The sequence below is a fragment of the Homo sapiens genome, chromosome 9, assembly GCF_000001405.40.
Source record: "Homo sapiens chromosome 9, GRCh38.p14 Primary Assembly".
Classification (NCBI taxonomy): Eukaryota; Metazoa; Chordata; class Mammalia; order Primates; family Hominidae; genus Homo; species Homo sapiens.
In genome coordinates this window covers 71,167,595-71,186,961 of record NC_000009.12, presented here as the reverse complement: position 1 = coordinate 71,186,961, position 19,367 = coordinate 71,167,595, and the positions used below count along the sequence as shown (strand labels likewise).

General features: G+C 38.1%; 1 protein-coding gene across 4 annotated transcripts in view, besides 1 other annotated feature; it reads left to right on the top strand.

The window, feature by feature from the left end:
• The window catches only part of TRPM3 (transient receptor potential cation channel subfamily M member 3), a 917,912-nt gene that overhangs the window by 260,010 nt on the left and 638,535 nt on the right, over positions 1 to 19,367 (top strand). The gene's annotated exons all lie outside the window — the stretch shown is intronic.
• Positions 15,392 to 15,937: an enhancer, noted in NCBI's record as "OCT4-NANOG hESC enhancer chr9:73785941-73786486 (GRCh37/hg19 assembly coordinates)". NCBI's record gives its function as "activates a minimal SCP1, AML or CMV promoter by ChIP-STARR-seq in primed H9 embryonic stem cells {active_cell/tissue: H9 hESC(primed)}" and the evidence as "EXISTENCE:reporter gene assay evidence [ECO:0000049][PMID:30033119]".

Below are 19,367 nucleotides of genomic sequence, written 5' to 3'. Positions count from 1 at the left end.
TATTATTTTTAAGAAGAGTTTTTAATTATTAGGGAAAATATGTTCATGAGATTCTGTTTAAAACTCCATGACATGCTCCCATTTGTTCATAGATGAGTTGACATAACGAGAGACTTTTTGCTAGCTCATCTTCATGTACAAAGCATCAGTCCAACAATAATATATGTAAGAAAAACTTGAAGATTTTATAGACAGTCAAATCTGTTCTTTTTACAGGAACTAAGTATAACAATAGCTCCTAATATGTTTCTAATACTTTCTATACATTGTTTCTAATATATTTCTAATTAGTAATCTCACACATTTTCATAAAATCCTAACAAACTTCATCCCTAACTTGGTCTGGGCTGACCACATATTGCCATGATTTATTTGTGTATTTTTTTACATACAGTGCATCTTTGGACATCAGTCTTTCTGGAGGCAAATTCACAAACTAAATGCCCTTGGAGACAGGAAGCTAAGCTACACATAGAATTTGCCTTAAAAAACATACAGTATAAGACCAGAGCAGAGAGAGCATGAATTTAAGAAGAAATAGAGAAGTGGGTGACCTTAATAATATGATTACTTAGATTTTTCAAATTTTATAGTTGGCAGATAGTTTAAATGCATTGGCTATAGTTAATTTCTGAAATGTTTTTGATATAGTAAATAACCTAGGGACTAAACATGGTTTCTAGATTGAAGCCATAACCTCCCATAGCTTAGCATGTGACCTTTCTTGGAAATACGGTAATTGCAAATATAATTAAGTAAGATGAGGCCATACTGGAGCAGGATGGGCTCCTAGTCTAATCTGATTGGCATCCTTATAAAAAGATGGTCCTGTGAAGGTTGAGAGGCACAAGGTGAATGCTATGTGGAGGATGCCGTGAAGTCAGAGGTTAGAGTTATGCAGCTGCAAACCAACGAATACTAGATTTTCAGCAAACCACCAGATGCTAGGAAGAGGCAAAGAAGGATTCCCCTATCAGTTTCACTGACAGCATGGCCTTAATTCTGAACTTGTAGCCTCCAATATTGTGAGACAATACATTTCTGCTGTTTTAAGCCACCCAGTTTGCAGTACTTTGTTAATGCAGTACTAGGAGATGAATACCCCATGAATATGTGATTATGATTCTTTTCACATGCACACGTCCATTCTATGTAAGGTGCTCCGGCTCATCAGAGTGGCCATTGAGCTCAAGGATGAGACGCCTTACCTCTCTAGCTTCAGTTTCCTGATCTGTGAAATATTTAGATGACTACCCAAAGCAGTGTCATATGCAATGAGACTACACATAAAACACATAGCACAGAGCCTGGCATATAATAGATGCATAATAAATAAACACGAATTCTGTCACATTACCTTGCTTTAGATTGCTCCAGGAGAAGCTTTGTTCAAAGGCTGTCCTAATTAGCCTTTGAGTAAAAGAAGCCAGGTCTACGTCAGTAACAGTATAGTTCTTACCTGGCCTAAACAGCCAAGAAAGAAACAAAGAGGGTCTACTTCCAAAGTAAGCTTCTTTGGTTTTTGTTTTATTACTGTTTCTGTTTTGTTTTCTTGCTACTCTACATGAAAATAAAGATATTTGTAGAATTGCTACAAGCGAATGTCTTTCCTTTAGATAAAGGGATGGGATCATGCTTTTCAGTTGTCAGAATCAGGGAAGAAAAGTGTGGAAATGAATAGCTGTGGTTATACTTAGTTTTATATGCAGGATTGCTCTGAACTGATTTTTTTCCTAATATCTCCTCTCTCCTTTCATGCATCAGTTACACACTGGATTTTTATTACATTAGAGTGTGTGGCTTCCCCCACAGCACTTTTTTTACCCTAAAGAGTTCTCTCCAGTTCACTGAAGAGCCATCTTTGAAAAGACACTTGGTTTCTCTGAGCATGCACTTAGCTCATCAATGCATGTGCGTGCATGCCTGCTTGTTATAGAAGACTGACCAGTCTTAGGCTGGGCATCCTACATCTTGGCATCTGCTGCTCTAATTTGTGTATTTGTGTGTGTATGTGTTTCTATATGTGTGTTGACAGCCTATTTCTTACTCATTCCCTCCCTTTATTATAAGAGTGAAACAAACATCTTTATCAGTTACACATGAGACTCAGGTGCACCTTCCTCTGGCCTAAGCAACACATGAAATTAAATTTGGATGAGCATGTAAAGCTGTTGGCAGGCCCTTGCCTGAGAGCAAGTTTTAATGGGTCAGAGATGGAAGTGAGCATAAGGAGAAAAAAATGGGGCAACAAGACAGAAGAAAAAGCAAAAATGGAGACTGCTCATGAGAATGTTTTGCCTCCTTCGTAATGTTGCCAAAGGCTAGTTCTAGGTTAACACTTCACAGCAAGAAAATAGTCCACCTGCTGTATGCAGACATGGAATCTGCTCAATAGTGTCATTATAGAGACCAATTACAGAAGGAATCAAGGACTAACAGATACTGAGAGAAGCCCAGGTCACTTCCATTTTTGGGGCTTTGATAATATTGAAGAGGAAAAAGAGAAGAGAACACAAAAGGAGAAAATAAAAGTTAAAACCAAGTCATGAAACTATGGTATGGTTTACATGTTTTCCTTCAAGTTAACACTCCTTTCCTATAGAGAGAAAGCCAAAAGTCTAGATTTGAGGCCCTTGCTAAGGATGAGCGTTGAGTAAAGTGGTGTTCTTGCAACCCCCATGCTGGACCCTGACATTGATTGATCCCATTAGTTATCCTTTGATCCAGTTCCATATGGTATGTTTGAGAGCTGTTGTTCTTAGGTAATAGCAATATCTCATCATGGGAGGTATTCCTCCCTTTTTTTCTGATACTCACACAATGGTAACATCTCGAAGAGCACCCCTAATGGTGGTGTCTGGAGATTTGCATTAAAAATCTGGCTGCCTGTCTGGATTCTGGCTGAGCTGATGATGGGGCTTGATATTTCCTGGCAAGGGTGTGAGAGATGCGGCAAAGCTGTGGTGCTGTTGATCTGTGTTCATTCAGTGGGGGCCTGAATGAATTGCTTCTGAATTTTTTATACCTTGTATAGTAACGGGCAAATGAGTGAGGCCTGAAAGATTTTAACCGTGCTTTCTTCTACTACTCTTTGGCCTACGTTCTCACAAAGGAAACCTGCTTTTGCTTTTTATTTCAAATGCCCCCATAGATTGAACTGTCATAGATGTACCTGTTAAAGAATTGAAGAAAATGAGAAAATGATCCCACCTATATTGTTCATATTATTAGTATGTTCAGAGAGCAGTTTTATTAGCTGCAAGAATGTGATAGAAAGTCAAGAAGGGAAGATTTTCCCAGCTGTGTGTATTTAGATATAAAAGTAGCCTAAATAAATAATCTTTAATACATATTGGGAAATTAGCATGAAATTAATAAGTAAAGCTTGGAAAAGAATAGGTTAGTATATAATAATAAATATTATGCAGTGCAACTGTACTTGGCTAGGACTGTTGTCAGGGTGATTTGCAGGAGAAGCAGCCAATAATTGTAATAACACAGGAAATGAAAAAGCAGAAGAGGAAAGACATTTTCAAAGGGGCTGGATGGCTAGAGGAGAAATGCCTCCAGCATTGACACACTGAGGAGAACTTCCACGAAAAAGATCTGATTCAAGAGAGATGTTTTCTTCTCTGTTCCTCTACGTTCATTATCCTTAGAGAACTTGGCAGGAGACGAACAGGTAGTGGTGAGGACAAAATGCACAGTAAATGCCATGGCCTTGACCTTGCAGAGTTTGACTGTGCGGATCCAGTAGGACACACACAAGTTCTGAATCATATTTTTTTTTGATATTAAGTCTTACTTAAGTGGTGGATGTTGAATAACGTAAAATACATTCTTCTATATACAAAAAGCCCTGACTATTTACTACCTTGTCTGGTATGTTCTATCTATATACCACCAAATTACTTAATATCTTTTTCTTTTCTTTTTTTACCCCACTTTGGGAATGAGTTAAATAATTTTATTCCCTGATGGGCTTTAAAAATTTTCAATACGCTGGGCATGGTGGCTCATGCCTGTAATCCCAGCACTTTGGGAGGCCGAGGCAGGTGGATAATCTGAGGTCAGGAGTTTGAGACCATCCTGGCCAATATGGTGAAAGCCCATCTCTGCTAAAAATAGAAAAATTAGCTGAGAGTGGTGATGCGTGCCTGTAATCCCAGCTACTCAGGAGGCTGAGGCAGGAGAATCCCTTGAACCACGGCGTTGGAGGTTGCAATGAGCCAAGATGTCATCACTGCACTCCAGCCTGGCAATAGAGCAAGACTCCATCTAAAAATAAAATAAAATTTAATATTGAGCATCTTGCTAACATAAGTAAGCCATTATACTATTTTATGTTTTATTATGTTGAATTTGATCAGGTAAGACTCAAAAATGCTAAAAGTGTCTTTTAGGATAAATAGGCTCTTTTATGTTTTTGATAGATACTTATGAAGTTTAGAGCCATTTTCTTCTTTGATATTTACCTGCCAAGTTAAGGGGGAAGAAAAGGAAATTGTCAGGTTTTGCTTGGCCATGTACACTCATTTGAGGTCTTAAAGGAACTTGGGTTCCTTTCATTGGTTTGAAACCCTGGAGGGCCATTTTTCATTCTGAAGCTATTGTTGGGGAAGTAAAATTCCATGGAGAGGGAGTTGTGTGCATCTCTAGTGATATGTGGGCTGGTGGATTAACAATATTTGTCATGTGCACACACATATACCCCAATAATTCTTTTTCCTATTGTATGCTATGACTTCAATTTAAGAAATACCTCTGAAATTCTAGTGCCAAATACATGTTTGAGAAAAAAAATGCATCATATATTTAGCACATAAAGTGCTTTTGTATGCTTGTGTTCATCTTATAAGATGTAGTGCATATAAAAAAAACAAGACATCTGAGTTATGTGCAAAAGAGAGTATGGGGCATGAATAATGTAGAGGCCGGGGTTTCCATTATTTAACATGCCTAACAATGACCCATGGAGCTTGTAAACATGCAGATTCCCAGGCCCTCCTGGTGATTCTGAGTCTGCATTTATTGAGTGGCCCAGGAATTTGTGTTTTAATGAACATACCAGGTGATTAATGACACAGGTAGTGCTGGAAACACTGAGAGGATAACTTCATGTGGTATTACTTTGGGTCACACATTTGAGGAAAAGTTATGTCTAAGGATTGTTCACCTGTTAGTCCAGTCATAACATCCCATGTGAGTGTGTACGGCAGATAACGAGAAAAGAAAAGTAGAAAAGAACCTCTCTGTTGCTAAAGGACAGTGGTAAATTTGACATCACTTTTTTGTTTCAAAGAGAAAAACTTCATCTGTTGAATGTAATAATTATATTATTTACCTCATAGTAAGGATTAAATAAGGTAGTGATTGTAAAATGCTTCTCATTGTATTCCGCAGCATCTGATAAAATGTTTAGTAGGCGTCATGCATCCTTCTTCTATCATTCATTATTATTTAAGCTATGTATTTCCTATTTGCTGCTTTATTTTTAATACAGTGAGTTGACCTAAGGGCTCAGATTATTGTTTTGTTTATCATCTTGTGGCTGAAGAGCAAAGTTTTCTCCTAATCAAAAAAAAAAAAAAAAATTGCAGTTTCCCATTCTATTCTTTTTAAAAACAAAACAAATATTTTTATTAAAACAGAAGTTGAAGTTTAAAAAGCCATCTACTTTTCCTTCTAGGGCTCAAAGTTGTAGTGAGCTGTAGTAATAGAAGATCAGTTTCCATACAATTTAAAAGTGAACATGGACAGACAGTTCAAATGGCGAGTGAGTGTGATAATCCCTTTGTTCTCAGGAAGAGCACAGATCTTCCTTGCTTTATAAAGTAGGAATATTTTTTAAAGGCCTAGTTAAATTATCTTAATGGAAATGAATTCAACTCGTGAAGTGTCTGGGTCCTCAAATTAGAGCAGTCTTGTCAATCCCTTGTGACTATATTATCATAAAGAAAATAAACACTCAAGAGCCTTCAGGAACCATTTGCTTTTATCCTAGCAACGTACTTCTCCTACGACTAAAAGGCCAAACACTTAAAATAGTACCTGTATTCTATAATTAGAGAATCTAATAGGCTAGAATTTTGAGGGGAGGTGAGGAGCCTCTCTTCAATAACTATTCGCTTTTTTATGTACTCTAGCTGCCTAATCTTGGGACTTAGAAGATTTAACTGGGGTCAAAAAATTTCAAATCTTAAAAGATTTATACAAAGAGAAATCTTATATGATACAAGCTTTCTTCTTTTTAGTAAAAAGTATTAAGAATTTCTTTGGCAACAGGGAGAGAATGTGGCCTAGGTGGATCTGCACATCCTCACAGCTACTCATGACTTCAGTGGGAACTGTGTATCCATGCTATCTCCTTCCTTTCTATCCAATAAGACACACTTTGAGAAATTCGTTCAACCTTGGGGTGTTTGTTTTGGGTTCCCATGTCAGGTATTACAAGTCACATGGCTTTCAAATAGAGTACTTACAAAGTACAGGCTTCCTCCTAAAAATGGATTCTTAGGGAATTATATCTAGATTAAATTCCCTTTCAAGTGAATTGAATTTGAAATACATTGGGGATGATAGCCCTTTCTAAGAAAGATGTATGATAGGCTGGGTGAAGTGGCTCATGCCTGTAATCACAGCCCTTTGGGAGGCCAAGGTGGGTGGATCACCTGAGGTCAGGAGTTTGAGACCAGCCTGACCAACATGGTGAAACCCCATCTCTATTAAAAATACAAAAATTAGCTGGGTGTGCTGATGCACATCTGTAATCCCAGCTACTCAGGAGGCTGAGACAGGAGAATCACTTGAACCCGGGATGTGGAGGTTGCAGTGAGCTGAGATTGTGCTATTCCATTCCTGCCTAGGTAATGAGAGTGAAACTCTGTCTCAAAAAAAAAAAAAAAAAAAAAGAAGGATGTATGATAAGGTTCTCCCCTTTTATTGTGTAATGTAAAACCAATCATGTTCTATTGGTAGATGGTTTCCAACATGGTAGTTTCAACTAAGCAGTTTCCTCCAGTGATGGACACCAGCATCTCAGGCACGTGAATGCCATATGGTGGGTCCTGCAGTCATGTGAACCACTAACATTTACTGCTTATTTTTGGAGGCAGATTTCATTAGGAAAGTCTCACTATGATTTTGAAATTTTGTTTAAACAGAATGTTTGTGGAAAAATATTCCCCGAATGGAAAATTTCCTGATGGGAATATATGTAGGTTATGTTTGATTGGTATGACAAGTAAAGCACTGCTGGCCCCCTACAAATCACAGAAGTCTCTGGCTAAGTTAGCGTCCTGCCCCTTCAGAAAAAACATGGAGTCTGTGATTTCCTTACCATTCTGTGTTACAGTTTCAGTTTCTACAGAGTAAATTTCATTTCTCAAAATCTAATTTGTTCAGAATTATCTAAACTGTCCAAATTCACCAGCCAATAGTGACTCTTCCATTTTATTTTACATAGTATGCATTTTAATTTGGTTTCTAATAAAGCAAAGCAAAGTCAAACACAGACCAGAATGAGAGAATAAGGAGACACTCCCTGCCTGAGACCTTGGAAGTGGTGTACACCTTGCTGTTTTGCCAGACAAGTGGATGACTGCTTGTTGACTGTTCACTTTTACAATCGTGAGTGGTGAGGCCCCTTTCTTTTCCCTGCCCGTTTTAATAATCGACTGGTGCCAGCAATTCTTTTAGGTCCAGTGTGACTGGTCCAGCCCAGTCTCCCATATTGGAAGCAGTAATGCATTTTTAGTTGGCACACTGCATTTCACATCAAATTATTCTGTTTCAGTTGTGTTGCTTCTTTCTCCCAAACTGGGCTGTTAATTCCTTGAAAACAGGAGAAACCTAGAATATAGGAAAGAGCCAGGGAAAATCAAGGTTCAATATCTTCTGAATATTCCCTATAAATCAAGTTCATCATTGTAATGCATGAAATTTCTATTTAATAAAAGTTTAAACTGTTCTTTAAAATGTTAAAAATATTTTGAGTTAAAAGTTAATTTGTAGCATCTAAGTTCTATGGTGGCTGGAGAGTCACTGTGGGAATAAAATAGATTAATTACTTAATAGAAGAAACTCCGCTGAAGTAAGAGAAACATCCCTGCCTGTCTGAGTGGAGGCAGGCATTTTTAACAGCGAGCTCATGACTTTGAAATAGATAAGGATCCTGTAACATTTGTGCGTCACGTTTAGTTAGAATATACTCTCAGAATGGAATGAATCTCACAAAATTGCTATTTTCTCTCAGGTATATTATTCATCTTCTCAGAATTTTCCTGCGTTTTAGTGATTACTTCTTTAAATATCTTCTAACTACTAGTGCCATAAATATAATATGCTAAAGAAATATGGTTCTAGAGGTTTCCACAGTAGAAAAAATATTTTTAAAGTAATTATTTGCAAATGTCACATGTCAGATTTTTTAACTCTTAAACATCTTTGATGTGGACTAGTCTAAAATCCTGACAGGAATCTTATTAGATAATAATAAACAATGATGAGTTTGAACAAAAAGTTAAATTGCCTGAGATCTTACAAAAGTGAGAGAATTATATTTTGTTTTTACTCCCCCTTTCATTTCAAATTTCTTGACTGTATTACTTACTCTATTCAGATACTTTTATACTATACTATGGAAAATATTTATGTTTATAATAAAACAAAACATATTGAGTTTATGCACCCGCTTTCTGTAATATGCTCTATTTCTCTTGTATTTTAAGTTGTGAAAGACTATGACATATGCATAAGAATTCCTCTTTGAAGTGTGGTCTTGTTGATAAAAAAACAGTGATACCTTGTACACATTGCTACACTTGCCATTGTGACGGTTTATAGGTTTATTATATTTTATCTACAGTGTACTGTATGATAAAAATCTTATCTAGAAGGAAAAAAAATCCTAAAACCTACTAAGCTTGAATAATGCTTTTGCTTGTACTCAGTTTAAGATCGTATCTTGGTTCAGTATAAAACATCTGCTAGCAAAGGAAGTTTTGTTAGAAGCTTTTTTTTTTTTTTTTGGCTTTGAGCAATCCTTTCTGTTCAATACAAAACAAAAATACAGCTCCCTATAGTTTAAGGAAAGTAAGGTAAACAGAAAATGAAAACCTCATGAAAGTCAATGTAAGATAACCCTATGTGACGCTCCAAGAGACTAAAAACCAAGCCTTAGTGTGCTAGTCCTAAAGGTAGGGAAAACAAGAGCTAAAAATCTACAAACCCAGTGAAGGTTGTGGCCTGGGTTGAGTATATTTTAGAATATTTAGAATATTAGTTGGGCCTTCTTTAAGTTGAATATTTAAGTATGTGAAAAGATAGGTTTTCCTAATACATGAATGACTCAAGATTCTGTTTACATGTGTGAAAACTTAGGTCTTTAATGTACAGTCGTAGGTCATTTAACGATGAGAATACATTCTGAGAAATGCATGCATCCTTGGGCAATTTTGTCATTGTGCAAACATTGTAGAGTATACTTACCCAAACCTGGATGGTATAGCCTAGGCTATGCTGTGTAACCCAGAGGTCCCCAACCTTTTTGGTACCAGGGATGGGTTTAGTGGGAGACAATTTTTCCATAGACCAGGGGTAGGGGGGCAGGGATGGTTTTGGGATGATTCAAGAGCATTACATTTATTGTGCACTTTATATTATCATTACATTGTAATATATATTGAAATAATTATACAACTCATCATAATGTAGAATCAGTAGGAGCCCTGAGCTTGTTTTCCTGCAACTAGAAGGTCCCATCTGGGGGTTTTGGGAGACAAAAACCGATCACAAGGCATTAGATTCTCATAAGGAGTACACAATCTAGATCCCTCGCATGCACAGTTCACAGCAGGGTTCATGCTCCTGTGAGAATTTAATGCCAATGCTAATGTGACAGGAGGTGGAGCTCAGGTGGTAATGCAAGTGATGGGAGGTGGCTGTAAATACAGATGAAGCTTCGCTCTCTTGCATGCCACTTACCTTGTGCTGTGTGTCCCAGTTCTAACAGGCCACAAACTGGTACTCGTCCATGGCCCAGGGGTTGGGGATCCTTGGTCTATCCCATTCTTCCTAGACTACAAAACTGTATAGCATGTTACAGTACTGGGTACTGTAGGCAACTGTAACACAACGGTTAAATATTGGTGTATCTAAATGTATTTAAACATGGAAAATACACAGTAAAACTCCTGTATCCAAGATTAAAAATGATATACCTGTATAGGGCATGCACCATGAATGGAGCTCGCAGGACTGGAAGTTGCTCTGGGTGAGTCGGTGGGTGAGTGGTGAGTGAATGTGAAGGCCTAGGACATTACTATACACTACTTTAGACCTCATAAACACTTTATACTTAGGCTATACTAAATTTATAAAATTTTATTTTTTCAATGATAAATTAATGTCAGCTTTAATTTCTTTACATTATAAACTTTTAAATTGTTTGACTTCCTGACTCTTTTGTAATAAACCTTAGCTTAAAATACTAACAGTTTGCGTAGCTGTACAAAAATACTTTCTTTCCTTATATCCTTATTCTTAGGCCTTTTCAATTAAAAAGTATGTTATTTTACTTCTTAAATGTTTTAATTAAAAACTAAGACACAGGCACACACATTAGCCTAGGCCTGCACAGGGTCAGGATCATCAATATCACTGTCTTTTACCTCCACATCTTGTCCCACTGGAAGGTCTTCAGGGGCAATAACATGCATGGAGCTGTCATCTCCTATGATAACAGTGCCTTCTTCTGGGTACCTCCTGAAGGACCTGCCTGAGGCTGTTTACAGTTAACATTTTTAAAATAAGTAGAAGGAATACCTCTAAAATAACGATTAAAAGTACAGTATATGCATACACTAGTAACATCATCATTTCTTATCAAGTATTATGTACCGTATGTCATCATAGGGTCTATCCTTTTATACAGCTGGCAGCATAGTAGGTCTGTTTACACCAAGATCACCACAAACATGTGAGTAATGCATTGCACAATGACATTAAGATGGCTATGACATCACTAAGTGATAGAAAATTTTCAGCTCCGTTATAATCTTATGGGACCATCCTATACATGGTCTGTTGTTGACCAAAATGCCATAATGTAGTACATGACTCTATTTGAGAAATATTTACCATTGCATGACATAAAATTACTGCACTGCATAGCTGCTAACATTTCTGCTGCTGGCTTCTATTTTTTAATGCCTAATCTATCCATGTCCTTTCTCATTTAATGATTTTGATCTCCATGTTGAAAACCTATGCGACCCGTCTGTCACCTGACTTTCTGCCTTCTGTGATGGCACAGCCACTCACCAGTAGCCTGGAAACTAGCTCTGATCAATGGATGTTACTTTGCTTTGGGGATCTTTCCCTCTGACACTATCCACACTGCCTGCCACCACTAAGACCAGTCATCACTCTAGCCTGCCTTCACATTGACATCACTCTGTGCCTTTTGGCTATCACACACATCCCTGTCTTTGGCCTCTAATCTTTATGATGTTAGAGATTTATTTTTCCCACTCACAGTTCCCTTGTTTGCCCACCTCAGAGTCAACCATATGCACTGATAATCCTTGGACCTGTCTCAGCTCTTGTTCTCTCACCTTCTGTTCCTCTTGAAGGGAGGAAAGGGTAGAATTAGGCCTATCGTAGCCTATTACAGATTCACACAAATTCAGTCTGTCCATTAATGCAGCTCCACAAGCCATTTACTTCTCTTTCATGCAACCATAAGCTCCCTCTCACAGAGGCCACACATGATTTGATTTTTCTTCTCTGTCTCTCAATCCTACTTTCTCTCACTTCCAAATGTGTGGGAAAGATCATGGCAGTCTTGCAGGAACTGCTCTGCATCTCTGGTCATGTTCACCTCCATCTGTCGTTTCCTTCCTCCCAGCTTGTTTTTTCCTACACGTCATGCCTCCATGAAATTTCTCTCTGCCTACCATGTCCTTATAACTGTGGGAAGGCCCTCAGTCTCTCATTCATTTCCAGTAACTCCAGCTCCTCCTCTTCTACTTTTAAAGATTAGCTCTCACTATCTGAAGACAAAGCAACCAAATAGCTTTTGGTCAAGTGCGCTGTCCTCTCTCAGAACTCTCATACTTAATGTGTGGCCCTCATCTGATTGCTGCATTTTCATCATCAGGATCTCCTTATGTCCTTTGACCCTGGCTTCGAACCATACTGAATTCACACTTCTGATTCTTCTCCAGATACCCGATGGCTTCTTTTTCACCCTCAGATTTTAAATATGAATGTTTTTAAAAGTTTTTCATGGTTTACACTCCTGGTTCTTTGCTTAGCATTCCCCAGTTTCAACACTCAACTATATTTTCATGATGCCTCAAAATATGCCTTCACACAGAACTCTCTCCAAAGCTGTAACTTCATTTTCTTTTTTTTTTGGAGATGGAGTCTCAACTCTGTTGCCCAGGCTAGAGTACAGTGACATGATCTTAGCTCACTGCAACCTCCACCTCCAGATTCAACTGATTCTCCTGCTTCAGCCTCCCAAGTAGCTGGGATTACAGGCACCTACCACTACACCTGGCTAATTTTTGTATTTTTAGTAGAGACTGGGTTTTGCCATGTTGGCCAGGCTGGTCTTGAACTCCTGATCTCAGGTGATCCACTGGCGTTGGCCTCCCAAATTGCTTGGATTACAGGCCTGAACCACTGTACCCCGCCATAACTCCATTTTCAAAGGCCTGCTGGGCATTTCAACTTAATTTTCCTGCGATGTCTTCCATTTTAGCTCATCTAATGAGTTATCTTTGTCTGAAACCTTTCCCATTCGACATGCCTCCCCCTAATGATTTTTTATTTCTAACTTTATTTTAATTTTTGAAGGAAATATATAAATACTCGTACAGACATATGCCTTTGGCTTGGTGCTAAGATAATCATATGCAGAGTCGGCTATCACTGCAGATTCTGGAGTATTTTTCTTCTTAGAAAGTACACTGTATTGCAGATGAGTGGTTTATCTTTGAGTGCAGTGAATGTGGAATGACTTTATTTTTAGCAATTTATAATGCAAAGCAATGCCCAGATTGTCGATTATTTGCCAAATTCATTGTCCTTTAACAAGTAAAAGCTCACAAGTAAGAACAGTTGTTTCAAGAAATAAATTGGTGTTCCTAGGTAATAAATCTAAAAACAAATTAAAAGTTGATTCAAGGTGTCCTGCAGCCATTTCAATATCATCCTTACCTTAGATGAATGTAGAAAAGAAATGTGGGCGTTTCTAATGTGCCTCTCTCCAAAGCTGCTTTTCTGGCAGTTAGCAATCTACCTCTCCCCATGACCCCTTGTGAAATTTTCCATGAGGAATTCATGCACCTCCCTCAATACACAGCCATAGATCTTGGTTCTACCAAATGTAGTGGCAGCACTTGCACCTATATTTTAAGGAACAAAACATAGTGGCAAAGCGTAACTTGTTTCTTTCATCGCCACCAAATATAAGACATATATGGTAAATATACTGCCTTTCCACATATGTTTACAATTTACCACTTGCTTTCTTTGTTCCTCTCTACTTTACTCACAAATCCTTTCCAGTGTATTAATAGATTCTGTGATATGTAACTAATTCATACTGATAGCAGTCATAAATACTGCATACATGGTAGCAGTTGCAGGTAGTGGTGTTACAATCATATATTGTTAATATATATAATTATATAATGTAAAGCAATTGGTGATATAGTTTCCTATTTTCTGTTTATGCTTATCATTAACATACATTCATGGCATGGGATAGTCAAGGCATTGTGGAAAATGCAGTTATGTGACAAGGCACATATAGTCTAGTTGTAAAGAAAACAAAAAATTAGGTACATAAGGCATCATTGACAATTGAGTTGTTCAGTGAAAAGGTGTTCAGAGGAGGAAGACTTTATGAGTTGTGGGAAAAAACCCTTCTAGTGTTTCTTTCCTTTCCAGATCTATGTGGCTTTTCTAGTTTATTATGGTTTTCTGTGTGTTTATGCCCACTTACTTCACCAGTTACAAGATGCCTCTGCATTTTAGATACCTCTAAAGTAAATGGGCATAAGCGAACAGTTTTCAATGTGTGATGTCCTTGCTATACGTTACACCATCTTTAATTCTTGTGTTTCCTCCACTCCACTCTGATTCACTTCATTTCAGTTCCATGGGAAGAACCTGTTTAGATATTCTGTTTGGAGATTTTTCTAACGCATAGCATGTTCAGTAAATCTGAGTGCCAGTGAGAGAGCTTTTATTGTTTCCCTCTGAGACCTCACAGTTAAAAATTATGAGGTCAAGGCAGGGGGATCACTTCAGTCCAGGAGTTCAAAACAAGCCTAGGCAACAGAGTGAGACTCTGTTTCTACAAAAAATAAAAAGTTAGCCAGGCATGGTGGTACTCGCTTGTGGTGCCAGTTACTCGAGAGGCTAAAGTGGGAGGATTGCTTGAGCCCAGAGAGGTTGAGGCTGGAGTGTGCTGAGATCACAGCACTGCACTCCAGCTTGGGTGAAAGAGCAAGACCCTGTCTCAAAAACAAAAAAATTATGACTTGCTATTTGGCTGCAAATGTCCTTGAACATGACAATGATAAAACTATTAAAGACATTTATTCTGTTTGTTTTGTTTGTTTTAACAAGTTCCTCTATCAGGAATGAGATCTTCCCTCTCCCAACCAACCTCTATCTGGCTAAATTCTACAGTTTCAAGACTCAGTTCAGGAGCCACTTCCTCCAAAACACCTGCCTTCTATGCGCTGGGCACAGTGGCTCATTCCTGTAATCCCAGCACTTAGGGGAGGCTGAAGCGGGAGGATTGCTTGAGCCCAGGGTTTGAAATCAGCCTGGGCGACAGAGCAAGACACGTCCTGCAAAAATAAAAACAAAAAAACTGGCCAGGTATGGTGGTGTGCATCTGTGGTCCCAGCTACTTGGGAGGCTGAGGCAGGAGGATGACTTCAGCCCAGGAGGTTGATGCTGCAGAGAGCTATGATCACGCCACTGCACTCTAGCCTGTGTGACAGAGTGAGACCCTGTCTTAAAAACAAAAACAACAAAAACCCTAACACCCTCCCCCTCCAAAATAAATAATAATAAAAAGCCTTATGTGGTGCCAATCTGGTCTTAGATGTGTGAAGCTGCCGCGTAACACAGATGCAGGAGCCGTTTACTTCCAACTCATATGAACGACACCTCCTGGTTTTATGCAGTTCACAGCCTGAGTAATGGTGTATAGCAGCCTTGGGTACACGTTGCCTTCTTTGAGCTCCAACACACCCTGTGCTTTTCCTCATTACCGTATTGTTTCTATTTATATTTCTATCCCTTAACACATTGTAGGTATTTTAGAGACAGGAATTGTGACTTAATTTCTGACCCACACTCAGTACATAGTAAAAGTTTGTATCGGGGAACCTGCCCCGATATTCACGTAGGTTCTTTTCTATTTTCCCTAAGTGTCGGCCAGCTTGAGAAATAAAGGGACAGAGTACAAAAGAGAGAAATTTTAAAGCCGGGTGTTCGGGGGAGACATCACATGTCGGTAGGTTCCGTGATGCCCCACAAGCCACAAAAACCAGCAAGTTTTTATTAGGGATTTTCAAAAGGGGAGGGAGTGTGCGAATAGGTGTGGGTGACAGACATCAAGTACTTTACAGGGTAATAGAATATCACAAGGCAAGTGGAGGCAGGGTGAGATCACAGGACCACAGGACTGGGGCAAAATTAAAATTGCTAATGAAGTTTCAGGCACCATTGTCATTTATAACATCTTGTCAGGAGACAGGGTTTTGAGATCAACCAGTCTGACCAAAATTTATTAGGCAGGAATTTCCTCTTCCTAATAAGCCTGGGAGCGCTATGGGAGACTGGAGTCTATTTCACCTCTGCAGTCTCGACCATAAGAGACAGGAGCACCTGGGGGGGGCTGTTTATAAGCCTATACCTCCAGGCGCATATTCTCTTTCTCAGGGATGTTCCATGTTGAGAAAAATAATTCAGCGATGTTTCTCCCATTTGCTTTTGAAAGAAGAGAAATATGGCTCTGTTCTGCCCAGCTCACCAGTGGTCAGAGTTTAAGGTTATCTCTCTTATTCCCTGAACAATTGCTGTTATCCTGTTCTTTTTTCAAGGTGCCCACATTTCATATTGCTCAAACACACATGCTGTACAATTTGTGCAGTTAATGCAATTATTACAGGATCCTGAGGCAGTATACATCCTCCTAAGCTGACAGGATTAAGAGATTAAAGTGAAGACAGGCATAGGAAATCACAAGGGTATTGATTGGAGAAGTGATAAGTGTCCATGAAATCTTTACAATTTATGTTTAGAGATTGCAGTAAAGACAGGCATAAGAAATTACAAAAGAATTTGGGGAACTAATAAATGTCCATGAAATCTTCACAATCTTCTTCTGCCATGGCTTCAGCCAGTCCCTCCGTTTGGGGTCCCAGACTTCCCACAACAGGTTTGTTTTACTAATTTTAAAAGAAATGAAGCTTAATGGAAACTCTTGGTAAAATTCATACCTTGATGAAAGCTCTAAAGACCTAAGCTTAATCCACAGTGCTGCTACTTATCCTGACTCACAGGATTAGCAGTCCAGACGTTCTTCCTAATACTGACTCCTGATCTAAATACTGGGGTTTCTGTTTCATAAGCATCTTATTCACCTCATTCCCTGTCCCTTCCCTTCCCTTCATCTTCGTGTTCTCTATTCTGCTGTAACTTAGTTCATTGGCCCTTGTTACTTTCTCCCCCTGAGTCATTAATTTTACAGAAACAGTACTAGAGAATCTTTTCAAACTTCTCTACCTCCAATTTCTTCTCCTATGCTTCTTTCCTCTTATTTTCCATTGTGCAGCTCTCACCATCTTCTTTCCTAGTTGCCACTGGAAATTAGAAATTAAGCAGTAAAGTCTGACTTTGGATTTTTTTTTTTTTTTTTTTTTTTTGAGACAGAGTCTCACTCTGTCACCCAGGCTGGAGTGCAGTGGCATGATCTCGGCTCACTGAACCTCTTCCTTCTGGGTTCCAGGGATTCTCCTGCCTCAGCTTCCCTAGTAGCTGGAACTATGGGGTACACACCACCATGCCCGGCTAATTTTTATAAAAAATATAAAAATATAAAAAATATTTCTAAAAATTTATATTTTTATACTAAACCGAGAAGGGGTTTCGCCATGTTGGCCAGGCTGGTCTCGAACTCCTTACCTCAGGTGATCCGCCCACCTCAGCCTCCCAAAGTGCTGGGATTACAGGCGTGAGACACCGTGCCTGGACCCGAATTTGGATTTTTATATCAGTATATATTTTTCCTCCGTGCCTCTCTTCCTAATAAGAAAAATATCCATAGATTTAATAACATCAGTAAAGAATCAAATCTGCCTAAATGAAACAGAACAACTAATTAGAGCACCTGCCTCGAAATATGTTTTTTTGGTTCTATCAAGACATAGTTTTCAATTGACTTTCCTGATCTACCCTTAATCTGTTTGCATAGCCACATTCTGCACATAATTTGTCTTTTGCATATAAATAACATTTACCTACATACTCTCGCCTTCCAAGGCTGCATTTCTCAGTCTCTTCTTATGTAGAATCAATGTTGAGAGTCCTGTTTCCAACCGTTGGTGAATATAAAGAGCATGTATTGCAGACTGGAGGCCTGAGGGTCACATTTGACCTGGAGATGTGTTTTATTTGGAATACATACTGCCTGTAAACAAAATTATTTTTTAGTCAACATATGAAGATTGGATGATTTCACACACAAAAACAAGGAGCAACAGATGATTCACTTTACAACATGGCAAGAATCAGCTGGAACTTAGCAATGATGACTTTATTTATACAGGTAACCACTCCCTAGTAGACCACAGTTCTCACCACTCCCTATTATCTCCCTGATGCCAATGCCTGATACAACCTGCCCTTCATCTGTGCTCTTACATTGCTTGCTTTATTGGAAATGCTTTTTTATATCCATGGCTTTGTTAATTATGAGGAAATGAAACAGCAGGAGAGGACAGTTTATTTCAACAAAATCTGGAAGCTAGCTTCTTCTTTTGTATCAGTGAACTATATTCTTACATATCAAATGCAATTTTTAAAAGTATCTCTGGATCTTTACCCAGGTATCCTCACTCATTTAAGTTACTTCTTTTTGGTAGGCATTTATATTTATGACCTTTAAAAATATAAATAATAATGTTATTAAAATTATGGCAACACCCCTAGGAAGTATCTACTGTCAGTTACACAGTGTAATCCATGTAGAAAAATGTCAGGGATAGTAATAATAAAAAAAAAAATAAAAAATAATAAAAAAATAATAATAAAAAAATAAATAAAAATAAAAATAAAAAAATAAAAAACAAAAATAAATAAATAAATAAATAAATAAATAAATAAATAAATCACACCTTAAAAAAAAAAAAAAAAAGAAAAATGTCAGGGCTAAAGAAGGGTGCTTAGTGATGCTGACATTGCCAAGAATGGTGAACAGAGGTTCTGATTTAAACTCTCAGTAATTCTAAATCTCCGTTCAGTACTTACTACTGTCTTCCTTTCTACCCAAGTGGAAGGTAGGGGCTGGATTCAGAGAGAACAGATGGTATAGGATCTGTCCTAATTTATTCTTTGATACTAACAAGTACAAAAGAGTGAAAACTAGATTACAAAGGAAGATAGCAGATAAGATGCATATTCAGAAAGTCATTCCAGTTGTGCATACCACTTTGAAACAGAAGTGTCTGGTGGCTTCAAAGCCTTCTAGAATTTCCTTCTAGTCCATTTTGGCAAGATTATCATGCAAATAATACTACTAAAGATGTCATGATATGATGATGGGTGATAGTTTTTAACTTGTTTTGCTTTACCTATTAAAGTAAAAATTTGGCAAGCCATTTTGTATTCTCTCTAAGATAATAACAGTTCTTCCTCTAAATGAGGTATGTCATAGTGCACTTATTTTTAGATTCAGCAAAAATAATTCTTTAGCAGTTGATTTGTCATAACATTATACAGCTATTGGCATTATAAAACAAAAATTACAGTTTTCTTTATTCTACACCCTGCCCTCCACTTACCCTTTGTAATTTTTGAAATTTTCTTCTGTAGAATGCAACTAGAATGCTGCTGGATTTTTTTTAAATTGTGCTGTCATTATTCCCTCCATAACTGGTTTATTAGGAAAGTCTGGGCAAACCTCTCCTAGCAAGAAAAACTTTTTTTTAAAAAAGAGCTCTCATCAGCTTGTGCAAGGGCTGAAGTCATGAGGGAGTTGTAATTGAAACCTCCACCATGAGCCTATGGCTCTCAGAATTCTGGAAGCTGCTAATTTGGTTCTAAATTAACTT